Below are 16,018 nucleotides of genomic sequence, written 5' to 3'. Positions count from 1 at the left end.
AAAGGGGAAAATACTCTGTGGTGCACAGCCACTGACACTTTAAGAGAAATGTAAAATGTTCAACTTCCCCACTTCTTTAGGGCCTTATTGAAGCTATTCAGAAAGAGAGAAGAGATGGAAAGAGAGAAGAGGAGGGTGAGATTTGTAGATTTCCAGAGATGAAGAGATGACAGACATCGAGGGATGTGAAACACTATCTCTTCAGGCTGACTCTACTTTTATTAGGCTGTTCTTGCATTGCTATAAAGGAATACTTGAGCCTGGGTAATTTATAAAGAAAAAAAGTTGAATTGGCACACGGTTCTGCAAGTTGTACAAGCATGGCACCAACAACTGCTTGGCTTCTGGTGAGGGCCTCAAGAAGCTTACAATGGTGGTGGAAGGTGAAGTTGTGGCGGTGCGGGGGGCAGGCACATCACGTGGAGAGAATGGGAGAAAGAGAGATAGAGAAGGCGGATGTCCAACTCTTTCAAACAACCAGATCTCAACCAAGAATGAACTGAGCGAGAACTCATCACCAAGGGGGGGGTGAGAAACCATTCATGAGGGATCCACCCCCATGATCCCATCACCTCCCACCAGGCCCCACCTCCAACACTGGGAATCGCATTTCAGCTTGAGATTTGGAAAGGACAAACATCCAAAACACATAATCAGTCATCATTCCTATACTATAGCAACCATAAATATTGCATCTTATTCAGCAATTCCAATTGGAAATATTTAGTACCACTACCCACAAAAGTTTCTTTGTACTTATTTACGAGTCCTGATGTTTTTGTTAGAAAAACATTGCCACCTGTTTTTACCCAGCCAGGTCTCAGCCTAAGTGCCACTGGGTCCAGTTTCTCTCATCTTCTGAGCAGTTGGCCTAAAGTGACCCTATGTTTTCCTTTTTTCTTTCTCCTCTTCCTCTTCCACACCAGTGCAAACAAACCTCCAGCCCTCGCTTGACGGTCCTACATTGTTTCAACCAGGCAAGCATGGCACATTTCATACCTAAAGATTCCAATCCACAAATGGATTTTCTTGTCATTACTGTATGACAGCCAATAAAAAATCCAGGTAAAACATTAGAGATAGATGATAAAAGGACTGACTGCATATGAAATTCCTTTAAGCACCTTTAAGAAGAAATCATGTTTAAAACGGAGATGAGCAAAGGAGAGCATTTTTATCTTTCCATTTGGGTCATGCAGAGCTGTAACCAAACCATAAGCTGGAAATGTGGGGCCCAGATCAATGTACTGAAAAGCAATAATAATGAAAATAATTCTTTACGTTTCTGGAGTTTCAGGGGTATAGAAAGAGTTCTAGAATTTTCACAAGTGCTCTTACATAGACCATCTCATTTTGCCATGATGATCCTGTGCAGCCGGCAGAGCAGGTGTGGGTATAGAGCACCAGCCCCTGTATCAGGTGCTAAGGATCCGATCCTAAGCTGAACAGGCATTTGCCCACCCTCACAGGGAGTGGAGTAAGTGAGATATAGATTAAGTTTTAAAAATGTATCAAAACTATATGTGGGGGACAAAACACAGCAGACATCTGGTACACATGGCTGCAGGGGTAACAGCTGCCAGGAGCCAAAGAAGACCTCAGCCCGAGCTGGGGTGCCTGGCTGTGGAAGTGGTGGTTCTTGGGGCGGGCAGAGTAGACCCGCTGCGAAGGGGTGGGGCCGTGGAGCCGGAAGAGAGAACGGCGGGGGCGGGGCCAGACGCAGTTGGCGTGTCTGTTGGTGAGGTGGGCGGGGTCAGCCTGCGGTGGAGGGGAAGGGCCCTAGAGCCGTGGGGAGAGGCAGCCCGTGGCCTGGAGCAGTGGTTGGTGACCTTTGGAGTGGCGGTTGGGCGGTTGGGCGGTTGCATGGGGCGGCCTGGGACTCGGGGGCGGGGTCAGTCATATAAGGCTGTGCCCAGCGCTTTTGGAAGCAGTAAGTCCAGCCCGAGGCTAAGGTGAGAGCGTCTGCCGGGACAGTGTGGCTGGACCCACGTGGCAGGTGCGAGGCAGGGTCACTGCGGATGGGAGAGAAGGCGTAGAGGCCTCAGGCCTTGTGGGGTGTCACCTAGAGATGCCCCAGGAGGGCTGGGGGGCCGGGGTGTTTCCAGTGAAGCCAGTTGGCATCCTGGCCGCTCTCTCCGAGTGGAAGGCAGAGGGAAATAATTGTATTCACGCAGGGTGGATCGGGCGGAGGCCGTCAAGCTAGCCGGAAGGGGCTGTGCTGTCAACCAGCGAGCGCAGGTGGCCTGGTGTAGACCCCGGGAGGCTGGGCGGGGACGCTGGGCGGGGACCTGGTTGAGGACCTGGGCGGGGACACTGGGTGGAAACCCTGGGTGGGCACGCTGGGCGGGGACTCTACAGGGCTCTCCCTCTGGGTAGTCACATTCACTTGTTGAGTTGGGTGTCCATCTCCTCTGCATGTGGATTTTACTGACTTCTTATAATTGTCCTTGGTAGAAATCAGTGATAGTTTATTCAGAACTGGGGATGAGCTCAGCATAGCTGACACAGGCTGAAAATAATTCCTATAGTTAAGAGAGCTGAGGAATTTCCCCAGTCCATGCTCGGAGAGTTAGTTTGCTGAATTGGTGGCTTTCTGAAAGCCTCTGCTCTTCTGGCATGTCTGTCGTCATAAGACAATATTTCTGCCTGTGGTACATATACCTCTGTGGGATCCTTAGGTGAGAGAGGAGTGGCATATGATGGAGGGTTCTGAGAGCATCAGTATGTCTGCCTCTGCTGATTGGCTTTTACCATTTTTATTTTGAGGAGGTGTTAACCACCGAAGGGAGGTAGAATGTTTTTCCCCACCAGAGGAGGCAGCGACCACGTCTCCTCTATGGAGGCATTCAAGAGCCGTCCAGCTGAAGCAGCATCACTGTCTGAGGTAAATACCTGGGGTTCACCATCTTGCACCAAGAAGATTAAAGACATGGACACATGTGAGTGGGTTGAGGAGCGGAAATTTTAATAGGCTGAAGAAAGGAGAGAGGAGAGCAGCTTTCTCTCTCTTTCTAGAGAGAGGCATCCAAAAGGGAAAAAGCCGGCCTGAGGTGGACCACAGCAGACTTGATAGGCAGGCTTGAGGAGGCGGCGTCTGATTTACACAGGGCCCACAGATTGGTCTGATCAGGTGTGACGTTTACATAGCGCTCGGGGAAGGCTGGTCGTCCCACCCTAATCTTATTAAACAAATGGGCTTTCTACTTGGCCAGTACCATCTTGTCTGCTCCTTACTATACACGCGGGTGGCAAAGACAGGAGAAGATGGAGCCACCGTTTTGAACGTGTCTATTCCCAGGTAACCTTTCTCTGTTGGCACAACCACCAGTATTAGCCTATGCAAGCTTCCAGCTTGCTTGTCTGTGCCTGCAGCTTGATTTTACAGGTTGTTCTTTGTTAGAAAAGAAAATGATTTGGGGCATTCCTTTTAATGCTTTTCATTAAAAGGAAAACCTTACCAAGGACTTCCTTATTCTGTCTGCCTAAATAATTTATTTTTAACTCTTCTATCACAGCTCGGAAGGCACAATCCACATAGGTCTGCATGGTCCACCGAGCTGCATACCCACGGGGCCAGCGGGAGGTGGGCAGCTGCTGGGCTCTCTTCTGAAGCAGGTGAGTATGGAGTCCCCTGTTTGTCTGCAAAGAAACAGACTGCAGACATTGCTGCAGTCATGGTCTCGGCAACGTCATCCCTGATCTAGTGGAAGGCCAAGGTCTCTTTCTAGCAACTACATAAGTAGAGATGGAGGAGAACACAAAACAGGAAGACAATTTTTCCTTTTTCTCTCATTTTGGGCCTCTTTTAATTACGAATGCTGACCTTTGTCAGGGAATCATTTTTAAGAAACCTTTCCTTCGTGGGGAGGAAAGTTATGCAGGTGGTTTATCCCAACCTGATTTCTTGACCCAAGTTACTGGGCGAGTTTTCTCGCCTGCATTGAATGCTGAGCCACACGGGAAGGAGAAGATTGTGCTTTCGCTCTACTTATTGTAATGGGAGCATTATTTTCTGATGGTTGTAAGACATTTGTCAAGCGATACAACCTACCCAATTAGGAGACTATCTGAAGAATCATAGCAATATTCAAAAGCTCCTCTCTAGTCTCCAAATGTAATGTAAACTTTTTTTTCTTTTCTTTTTTTACAGACAGGATCTCACTCTGTTGCTGAGGCTGGATCACAGCTCCCTGCAACCTTGAACTCTCCCTCAAGCAATTCTCCCCACTCTGCCTTCCAAAGCACTAGCATTATAGGCCTAAGCCACCACTCCCATCCACTGTAGTGTAAACTGTCTCCTTCAATGTTTCCAATAGTTGCGGAGCAGATCAGATAAGGGTTCTTCCTGTCTGTTGCTTCAAGTTTCATTCTCTCTTTAAACAATACAAGGTTGGCTTCCATGGTTCCTTCTTAAAGAATGTTGAAGGTGTGTCTTCAGATTCATTTAGTGTTCGTGGAACCCCAGGGAAAGCTGATGTAAAAACCTCTTTTTTCTCCCATATGTCTCAAAAAGTTGTATTTTCTGGGTCCAAGGGATCTGCAAGCCTCCTAAAGGCATTTCCATTGTCACTACCACCAGGTGTGAACTGTAATCTGGCACGTATAGTTCCAAGAACTGTCATAATAGATGCTGAAGAAACATTGTGAAGTTAACTCGCTGTTACCAACTGTGAAGTCATTAGCTAGAGGAATCTTGGGCGGTCTGAAATCTGAGATACTGTGGAAAGAACAGAAAGATCCTGTATCTTTCCTATAATTGTTCTACTGGAAGTTGTCATTTTACACAGGAGACATTCTGTTTTATTTATTTTCTTTTGAGACAGGGTCTCACTCTGTCGCCCAGGCTGGAGTGCAGTGTTGTTACCACAGGTCACTGGTGCCTCCACTGCCTGAGGACTGCTCAAGCAATCCTCCTGCCTCAGTCCCCTGAGGAGCTGGGGCCACAGGCCTGCACCACCATGCCTGGCTAATTATTTTTATTTGTAGAGACAAAGTCTATCTTGCCTAGGCTGATCTCGAACTCCTGGGCTCAAGTAATCCTCCCGCGGTGGCTTCTCAAAGTGCTTGGGATTACAGATGTAAGCTACCATGCCCGGCCTCACAGGAGACATTTTTGATGTCCCTCTTGACAGTCTACAAAAGTCTACAAATCTTTTTTTTTTTTTTTTTGAGACAGGGTCTTGCTCTGTCACCCAGTCTGGAATGCAGTGGTGCCATCATAGCTCACTACAGCCTGAGCTGTACTGAGCTCGAGGGATCTTCCCGTCTCCGCCTCCTAAGCAGCTGGGACTACAGGTACTTGCCCCCAGGCCCAGATAATTTATTTAAAAACTTTTTTTGTAGAGACAGGGTCTCACTATGTTGCCCAGGCTGGTCTCAAACTCCTGGCCTCAAACAATCCTCTACCTCAACCCCCCTAAGTGCTGGCATTACAGGCATCAGCTGCCATGCCTGGCTACAAATCTTAATGTTTTCCCCATGGCTTCTTTTTCTGGCGTTCTTTTCTCAGGTAATGGAAGTGGGCAGAGAATGATCCTTTCCCTAGGCTCCAGTGTGTAAGAATTAAAGAAAGAGGAAAGAAACACAATGGCTTGATGGTCGAGGACAGGTTTATTTTAAAGAAAACAAACCCAAGAGTGGCTTCTGGCTGAGTTAGATCAGAGGCATGCTCTCTTACAGACTAAGAGTTTTTAAGGATTCAGGGTGGGAGAGTTTATCAGAGGCTTGGACTGCTTCTGTGTCTCTTTAGGTGTGCTTATCTGGGAGGGAGTTGTGTGTCTGTTTCCATACATCTTCCTGCAGCTGCAGGCATACCCCCAGGTCTGCTTTTAGCTTCCCTATCTTAGTGCACCTGAAGGGAAAGAATGTGCTTATTAAGGCCCACTGTTATACTGGGGCCCAATGTATGAGGGTGAAGTTTGGCAATTACCCAAGAGACTTTCCCCCCACCTCCCTCTGTGCCTGAGCTGTCTCATCTATGTTTTACTGTCTGCTCTTTCTGTCTGCTTGTTGTTAGAAGAGAAGTGATTTTCTTGAAATGCATGAGGCTGGAAAGGGAGCTGGCACTTAAAGTGGCGGTGTTTGTCCGAGAGGATGGTGCTCCTGCTCTGTCACAGTGGGCATGGGGATTCAGGCCACTGCCACCGAATTTCAAGAGCCCAAGCACAGAGCCCAGAACTAAATTGTGAGGGTTTAAAAAAAAAAAAAGCTTTATTGAAGTATAATTGACATACAATAAACTTGAATATTTAAAGTGTACAATTTATGCGTTTGGGCATTTGTATATACCCCTGCAACCATCAGCACACTGAAGATAAGGAATATACCCATTACCCCTGAAAATTTCCCCATGCCCTTTGGAGCCCCTCCCTTCAACCCCTCAAATACTTAATGCGCTTTTTCCCGAAAGGCAAGAAGAAAGCTTCCCTACACATTTATCAAGGCTGTTATAATCCTGACTCCCAAACAAGGTAAGGAAATTGTTAGACACTTAGAGAACACTTTCAACTATTGTATTCAGATGTTAAAATCCTCAGTAAAATTCCCATAACAGTTAATTGAACAAACCAATTATGCAAAAACATACAATCAACTATAATTGCACCCTATAGACTCCCCTTTTTATTCTCTAATGTGTTATATTCCACTAAATCTTTCTTCATCTTGCCAGTTTTTCTTCTAATTTCCCTGCAGCTATAATTTTGGCTGATGCTATAGTTTGAATATTTGACCCTCCAAACCTCATGTTGAAATTTAGTCCCCAGTGTTGGAGGTGGGGCCTGGTGGAAGGTGTTTGGGTCATGGGGGTGGATCACTCATGAACGGCTTGGTGCTGTTCTCATGGCAATGAGTGAGTTCTCACATAATCAGTTCCCTCCAGAGCTGGTTATTAAAGAGAGCCTGGCATCTCCCCTCTGTCTCTCTTGCTTCCTGTCTCATCATGTAATGTCTGCACACACTGGCTCCCCTTCTGCCATGAGTGGAAACTCCTGGAAGCCCTCACCAGAAGTAGATGCTGTTGCCAGCAGAACCACGAGTCAAATAAACCTATTTTTATAAATTACCCAGCCTCAGGTATTCCTTTAGAGCAACACATATGGACTAAGACAGTGATGTTCTCAATTTACCCTGACATTGCATGCAGGCCGGCTGTTTCCTCTTAAGTTCCCGGAGTGGGAATGTGTTCCGGACAAAGGATGCTAGTGAGTGGCAGTCCCCTACATTTCAGAAGGAGCAGAACAATGAAAGAAGGAAGTTGTATTCAATTACAATTTCTTTAGGCCTTTCTAAAGTTTGTCAACCCCTTGAATAAGTCCATAGAAGTACCACAAGTGGGCCAGGAGTAACTTCATTTTGTGTCAAAGACAAAGACTTCTTGGACCTGGAGAATAGGGTCCAACAAATAGGCCTTCTACAATAAGGCATTCCTTTCCCATTTGGTCTGTCCATGCAGCTGTCTTAACATGATTCATGCTATTTAGGAGTGATACATGATTAAATGTTGAACATTCATCAACAGATATTTATCAATTGTTACCTTTCACCTGGACTGGATGTTGAGGTGAAAATGGAGAGAGTGCTTTATTAAAATTGCAAGGATCAAGAGGCATATGTGTTTTTAACCTTAAAACACTACAAAATGAAGGGCTAACTTGTACAGTGGGATGGAGTGAATGATATGGGCATCTGTTAAGATGCCATCTGTAACCAGGCTCTGCAGAATGTGTGCTGGCAGCCTTTGTGGTAGAGCAGCCCAGTTCACAAAGTGCTGTCACTGTGGGGATGAGACTGTGGGGATGGGTGGGTGGTGAAGGCATGGCAGATCTAACCTCTTGACTGAAGCAGAGGGACCCTGCTGTGCAGCAATGGGAGAGGAAAAAGGACAAAGTAGGTTGGGCCTGATCATGGAGAGCCCAGGGGAATTACCCCATGCCCATTTCCAGTCGGCCCCTGCTCCAAGCGACCCACTTTTCTAATGTATATCTCCATAGATTAGTTTTTCCTGCTGTTGAATTTCATGTAAGTGGAATCATGCATTGTTAAAGAAAAATTATTCATGACACTCATTAAAGATGATAAGGCAGATTTTAACATGGGGGACCTCCATAATGGGGTTTTGCAGTAGGGAAGAAAGGTTTGGCTCCACTCTGAACACAACAAGGACAACTGGGGGTTTCTAGCCAAGGAGCAGGGTGGGGCTCAGTGGATGGAAAGTTACTAAGAGGAAACATCAAAGCTAGGGAGGTTTTTGTTAGAGGAGCTCAACAGGATCTTTGCTCAAGGCAGGCCAGTATGGGAAGATATGAAGAGTGGGGGGTGTGGAATTTGATCAGATAACAATGGTGGGGGATTTTCGATAAACTGACCCAACAAGATTGTAACTCACCTAAATGAACCAAGGACAGTCTAAAGTTTAAGCTTTGAGGGCTTAGAGGGCCTCACTGGAGTTAGGTCAAAGAAAACCTTTGTCAGTATGGACTCATGTTTGACTTTTTGCATGCAACATGTTTTTGAAATTCATATTGTTGCATGTGCTCTAAATTCATTTTATTTTATTGTTGAGTAGTACTCCGTTATATGAATTAACCAAGTGTATTTAACCCTTTTCCAAGTTTTGTGTGTTATGAATAAAACTTCAGTGGACATTCTTGCACAAGTATTTGTGTGGATGTGTTTTAATTTCTCTTGGGTAATATCTTAGGAGTTGATTTCTAGGTTATAGGGTAGGTACATGGTTATGTTTATACTATATTGCCAGTTTTCCAAAGTAGTTCTGCTACTTTATACTCCCAACAGCAATGTATGAGAACGCCAGTTGTTGTATTCCTTGCCAACACTTGGTATTATGTCTCTTTTTAATGTTGAGCATGGTTTTTTTTTTTTTTTTTTTTTTTCTGGAGACCGAGTCTCGCTCTGTCACCCAGGCTGGAGTGCAGTGGTGCAATCTCGGCTCACTGCAACCTCTGCCTCCCGGATTGAAGTGATTCTCCTGCCTCGGCCTCCCAAGTAGCTGGGACTACAGGCACCCACCACCACGCCCAGCTAATTTTTTGTGTTTTTAGTAGAGACGAGGTTTCACCATGTTAGCCAAGATGGTCTTGATCTCCTGACCTTGTGATGCACCTGCCTCAGCCTCCCAAAGTGCTGGGATTACAGGCATGAGCCACCGTGCCCAGCCAATGTTGAGTATTCTTGTGGTTGCATAGTGCTATCACCTGGTGGTTTAATTTGCATTTCTCTGATGACTGATGATGTTGAGTATCTTTTTATGCATGTTGTCTATTTCTATACTTTTGTGAAGTGTTCAAGTCTTTTGTCCATTAAAAAATTATCTTTTTAAAATCAGTGATTTGTTAGAGTTCTTTACATATTCTGTGAATTATACACACACACACACACAAACACACACATTCTTCACCTAATCTATAGCTTTCCTTTAACAGTTTATTGACTGAGCAAAAATATTAAATTGTATGGATCCAATTTATCAATGATTTCCTTCTATGGCTAAGGTTTTTGTGGTCCTATTGTAGTGACACAGAACTGTGTGGTAGAGAAGCCTGTTTCCAATGTCTAAGGAAATGGAGCTCAGGACTATAGCAAAGCTCACTGCTATGCAGTGATAGAAATGTTATGCAAATGCAGAGCAACTACCGAAAATGAGCTGTATGTGTTATATAACATAAAAGGTCATAAATAAGATGTCATTGCCTGGAAGACTATGCAAGTGATTGTTAGTTGGCAAAATTCAGATAAATTTTTCAAAGGTGTCCCCTCCCATGTATCCCTTTCCAACTTCTTTCTGGTCAGAGAAGGTGTAATTTACTGCTGGGAAGAAGAGAGAAATGTGTCTAATAGAGCCTCCAGCTTCCCTGGAGCTCCTGATTCTTTTCCATCTGCTGTGTGCTTTGCTGTCAAACAACATTTTGTAGATGTCTTTGGAACTGAGATAATGCCAGCAGGGTTCCAAGTTGATCTAGTGGAAGAGATTGCAACCCAGCTCAGGGCCAGAACCTTCCAGGATGGCCAGAAGGGGACAGCAGGCATTTCCTAGTCAAGAAGGTAGGAATAGATAACCTCCTAAATATGCCCTTGAAGCCATCAATTAACTAGGAATGACAGCTTTCTTAGCTATGGAACAGAAAAAATACCAGTAACAGGGCAGGAAATATTACCATAGGATGACAATTGCCATTACTCTTCCAAACCTAGCATTTGGATCCGCCAAGAAAGAGAAAGGATAGAGATAGTGCATGGGGTGCATGGGCTTAGTTATCATTCAGGGCCATTCTGTGCCAAAGTCAGGAGCTATATCCAGGGAAGTAAATTAACCCTATGGGATGAAGCTGTTTGTGCGGGGTTTGTGAACAAAAGTCGTTTGAAAAGGAATTTGGAGGAAAGAGGCTTATTCCAGTGAACAGTTTGCAAACCTGGGAGATACAGCCTTAAAGGAAGGTACATTCCAAAGTACAAAGGGAGGGCTCTGGTTTTATAGTGACAGTGCCTGCCCAGGTGCCCAATCATGTTCATTTATGCAAATAAAAGATTCAAACTTGCCTAGTTGTGATTGGTCAATACAGCTGAGCTCTGGTTGATTGGTTGATACAGCTGAGATCTCCTTGGCTGGTTCAGGTGAGCGCAGCGTGTGGCAAAGTACAGCAGAAGTGCGGGTGGTCTGGGGACTCAGGGTGACCTCTAGTCAACTGCAGATGGCTGCGTGGCTCTATTCAAAATGTAGGCCCAGCTGGCCATCTGGGTGCCTCTTGAAGGAGTGGCTCTTTAGGGTTCACCTTTGTTTACAGGTGTCAGAAACGAAGAGACTCAAGAAAAGACTGCCTGCCCTACTCACCTTGACTGAGCGCTGACGAAGACCACGGGGCCCTCTGCGCTGCAAGGGCGGAGGTGGCCCAGAAGCCCGCAGTGCCCACGTGCAGGACCCAGGGTAGGGGGTGAGGCCGGACGATGGCACCCGCCCCGCTGGTTCCCAGCCACACAGGGAGGCAAAGCAAAGGCAGCCCGCGGGCGGATGGAGCTGCAGGGGCCGAGCGTCGGCAAGCCCAGGACGGCCTGGCGCAGGGTTGCGGGCGCCCGACCTCCAGCGTGGCCCGCGGATGCAAGACAAAGCTTTAAAGCCTCCGGCCGCACAGCCACCCACTAGTCCCCAGGTATGAGGACGGTCTGAAGAACCTCTCTCTCCTCTGCCTGCTGAAGAGTTCCAAGACAAGTAAGGCAACAGCAAGGACGACACAACCACACACCGCCACAACCACACGCCACCACCACCACACACTACCACAACCACACCACACACCTCCACAACCACACACCACCAACCCCACACTGCCACAACCACACACAACCACACACCACCACCACACACCAGAACCACACACAACCACACATAACCACAACCACACAACACCACAACCACAACCACACACCAGCACCACAACACACAACCACAACCTCCCTCTGAGCTGCTCAGGCTGCTTTAACCAACCAGTTTGGAATCCAATCAAAATCCTCTGCTGCCGTCTAGCGACGAATACCGGGAAAGCAGAATATATAGTAAGAAAGCTGTTTAAGAGGCAAAAAGTGATCGTCTAAAGGTTTGCAAGTGCAAGCCAGAAGAACCTGGTCATCCTGTGTTCATGACAGTGCCTTGAACTGGGTCACCCCGCACTTGCTAAGGGGCTGGTGTGGGATGTGACAAGAAGAAAGTCGTCAAGGGGACTCCAAGATTTCTGACTTGAGAAACTGAAAAAGCCACTGTTAACTGAGATTTTTTTTTTTTTTAATGTGGGTGGAACGGATTTGGGCATAAAGATTTAAAAATCCAGTTTGAAACGTGCTAAATTGGAATGTTTAAAAGGGAATACTTGCTAAACTGAGCAATAATTATGCTGTCTCCAGGTTAGCACGCGTCCCCTTTTAGGTCAAAGGATACAGAGTAGCAAGTATGTAGGAGGAACAAATCAAAAGATCTAATGAACAACATCGGGACTGTCGTTTCTATAGTGTGTTGTGTTAAGGATTTTTGCAAAATCAGTAGATCATAGCTGCTCTTGCCACAAGGCGGAAAAACGGAAAAATGGAAAAACGGGTAACTATGTGAGATGATGGATATATTAATCTGTTGTACTCTAGTAACCATTTCACTAGATACATAATATCGTGTTGAACACCTTAAATATACACCACCAGATTTATTTTTTAAAATAAAAATGAAACATGGCTTGAAAACCAAAAAAATTAGCTGTACTATAATTTGATATGTTAAACATTGTCATGCTGTTATTTGATGTAACTACGCCCATAATTCCCAGGATAAAAATATTGGAGTCGTATTAAGATTACTTGGACATTAAGTAATTGGATTGGTCAAGAGGTGAAAGGGAGATTACTGTCCCATAGAAAAAGTCAAATGCTGGTTCTCATATATATATCACTTTGCATATTTGTATGTTAAGTGGATTGAACCTACATCACATGGTGGAAGGACTGCATAAAAGGTTAACATAATCTTTTCTCTATCTCTGTGAAAATCTAACTGCAGGCTGTCTACCTCCTTTCCCCTGGGAACCTGGTGACATGAAATGTTTGCTTGAGAGCATTGCTTTTAGGAAAAGAATGGCCGATCTTAGGATGTATCTTTTCAAACTATGGTCTTTGTAACCTTTCTGTCCTGAAACAGAAAAGACTTCTCCTCAACTGGTTGGGTAGCGCAATGTATTGACATAGAGTTCTGGTTCTAGCTCCGGTAGGCACAGAAAGACCACCGAGATTAACTCCCCAGACTCATCCCTCTGTAAACTGCTGAGGACAACAACTGTGCTTGGCCCTGCCTTACTCCCGGAAGTGCACTTTGAAATCTCTGCATGACATCACAGCGTGTTCAAAAGATGAACAAGTGACTGCTATTTGGTGTTGTGACCAAGGAAACTCTCCAGACTTGTAAATTCATATTCTTCTTCAAATAGAGGTGGCTAAGAATAGCATCCCGGGATTCTTTATCATTTATGAATCCTTTTGCTTACAACCGTTGGCAAAATGGCGTGGGGTGACGTTAACTTGTCAAATTAATGTAGAGGGATGCTAACTGTTTATGCGCAGCATATTTTGTGCTTATCATCTGCATCACTAAATCATACTTCATGAATGATTTCATTACTGAGTCAAGAGTTGTAGGGTTAGAAATACTGTAACTGATCATGTAATTGACAACAGAATAACTGTGGATTACTTGTTAGAACTGGATCATGTTGGTAACCATTTGCAAAATAGCTGTTGTTGAAACCGAACTGTTACTGTTCGAAAACAAAAAGTTGCAGCATTGAAAGATTTATGGAAGCAGAAAATAGCTTCCACAACCCTGTTAGGCAATAGATTTTTAGATTGGAGAATTGGCGGACTATTACTGATGGGTATGGTAGTACCGATTTTGGTACTTATACATGCAGATTGTTATGTGATTGGATTGGTGCCCTGGGGTGGTGGAGTCTACACTGTAGCACAGGCTTGCACCTGCACAGTGATAAAAATGTTACGAGATGGAAGAGCAAAGCTCAGAATGAATTATCATTAGGTACAAGTTCATAAACACATTGTAAGAGTACACATACGGTAAAATCTTTCAAAATCATACCCCTACCAATTCTCCTCACTGCTTACCCCCGTCTGTAGGTATTGAGAGAAAGTATGATTTATGGTGGCAGAGATAAATGACATATCCAAGGGCCCTGCGTTGCCCCAACTCCTGATTCTCTTCCATCTGTTTGCATGTGTTGTTGTCAAAGAAATAATATTTTGAAGAGAACTTTGGAATTGAGAAGATGTCTTGCAACGTTGTCTGAGGAATATTACTTACTTCAAAGTCATAAAGATAACCTCCCCAGTCTTCTTCTGGAAGACTATACTTTTAGCTTTCACATTAAAGCCTGTGATCTAACTTGCATATATTGTACTTTTGTGAAATAGAAGTCCAGGTTCATCATGGTTTTTTTTTTTCCCAAAGGGATGTCCCGGTGTATTAGTCAGAGTACTCCAGAGAGAACCAATCATATATATGGGAAGGGATTTATTCAGGGGAATTGGCTCCCAAAATCAACGAGAGGTGGAAAATTCCCACCATAGGGGAATCTGCAAGCTGAAGACCAGAGAAACCCATAGCTCGGCTCATTCTGGAAGCAGCCCCAAGTCTGAGACCTAAAGTCTGAGAGCCCCTCGGGAGTCTTGTGGTGCAAGTCACAGAGTCCAAACCTGAAGAACCTGGAGTCTGGTAGGGCAGAAGGAAAAAAGGCATCTGTCTCTGGAAGGGAGAGAGAGAACAGAGAGGAGACAGCAGAGAATTCCCCTTTCTTCCACCTGTTTGTCCCAGCCAAACCTCCAGCCCATTGAATTGTGCCCACCCATATTGAGGGTGGGGCTTCTCTCAGTTCACTGACTCACAGGCGAGTCTCCTCTAGAAACAGCCTAACAGAAATACCCAGAGACAGTGCATCACCAGGCAACTAGGCATTCCTCAGTCCAGTCAACCTGACACCTAAAGTTAATCATCACACCCGGGAATCACAGCACTGTATTTTAAAGAGAATTTCCATTCCCCACTGAATTGCCTTGGCAGTTTGTGAAAAATCAACTATGTATGTATGCGTCTATTTCTTAACTCTAGTCTGTTCCAGTGATCCTTCTGCTTATCCTTACACCAATACCACACTGTACTGATAACTGTAGCTTTGTAATAAGTCTGGAAACAAGTAATATAAGTCCTTCAAATTTATCGTACTTTCTCAAGACTCTTTGATTATTCTAAGTCCTTTGAATTTCCGTATGCATTTTAAAATCAGCTTCTCAATTTCTACAACAAAAAAAGACTCCTGGAATTCTGATTTGGATTTCGTTGTGTCTACAGGTCCATTTGGGGGAGAATGCATGCCTTAACAACATTGAATATTGCAATACAGGAACGTGGACTATCCTTCCATTTACTGAGTTCATATTTAATTTCCCTTGGCAATGTTTGTAGTTTTCAGTAATTAGGCCCTGCTTATCTTGCTCTAAATTTATTTTTCTATATTTTATATTTGTTGATGCTATTGTAAGTGGTATTGCTTTTATAATTTTCTTTCCCAGCTGTCTTTATAGCTAATACATGGAACACAACTGATTTTTGTGATTGACCTTGTGCCTTGTGAAGCTGCTAAATGTACTTATTACTTCTAGTAATTGTAACTATTGATTACTTATGGCTTTCTTTACATAATCATATAGTCATATCATCTGCAAATTAAACAGTTTCATACTTCTTCCTTTCAACACTTTTTGCCTTTTCTTTTTCTTGACTTACAGCGCTAGATAGGATCTCCTGTACAGTGTTAAATAAAAATAGGAAAAACAGACACTCTTACCTTATTTGTTATCTCAGGGCACGTTTATTCAATCTTGGCACTACTGAATAATTCTTCTTTTTTTTTTTTTTTGACAGAGTCTTGCTCTTTCTTCCAGGCTAGAGTACAGTGGTGCCACCTTGGCACACTGCAACCTCCGCCTCCTGGGTTCAAGTGATTCTCCTGCCTCAGCCTCCCAAGTAGCTGGGATTACAGGCAAATGCCACTGTGCCTGGCTAATTTTTGTATTTTTACTATAGATGAGGTTTCACCATGTTGGCCAGGCTGGTCTCAAACTCCTGACCTCAGGTGATCTGCCCACCTCGCCCTCCCTAAGTGCTGGATTACAGGTGTGAGCCACCGCGCCAGGCCCAGGCTGGATAATTCTATGTTGCAGGGCTGTCCTGTGCACTGGAGCGGGATCAGCAGCATCCCTGGCTTCTCACCCATCAGAGGCTGGCAGCATCCTCTCACGCCCCGGTGCTGAAAAACTGATAAGTTACTCTTCAAAAACAAGAACATTTGGAAACAACATCGGTTTCCAGGTATTGCCAAATATTTCCTTAAGGCAAAATCATCCCTAGCATCACTGTGCCCTTGGAATAGTGAAGTAGAAGAATTCTCATACAATG

At 44.7% G+C, this 16,018-nt stretch overlaps 1 long non-coding RNA gene and 1 pseudogene across 1 annotated transcript; one reads left to right on the top strand and one right to left on the bottom strand.

Moving 5' to 3' along the window:
• Positions 1-1,865: 1,865 nt before the first annotated feature.
• On the top strand, positions 1,866-6,261 carry LINC00668 (long intergenic non-protein coding RNA 668). The gene is made up of 7 exons (NR_034100.1): positions 1,866-1,952; positions 2,767-2,884; positions 3,516-3,615; positions 4,151-5,078; positions 5,177-5,295; positions 5,510-5,663; positions 6,017-6,261. It is a non-coding gene; the product is annotated as a long intergenic non-protein coding RNA 668 (long non-coding RNA).
• SCML2P1 (SCML2 pseudogene 1) lies at positions 3,520-4,761 on the bottom strand (annotated as a pseudogene).
• Positions 6,262-16,018: the final 9,757 nt, after the last annotated feature.

The sequence above is a fragment of the Homo sapiens genome, chromosome 18 (assembly GCF_000001405.40).
Source record: "Homo sapiens chromosome 18, GRCh38.p14 Primary Assembly".
Taxonomy (NCBI): domain Eukaryota; kingdom Metazoa; phylum Chordata; class Mammalia; order Primates; family Hominidae; genus Homo; species Homo sapiens.
The sequence above is the reverse complement of the archived record's forward strand: the minus strand, read 5'-3'. Positions and strand labels throughout refer to the sequence as shown.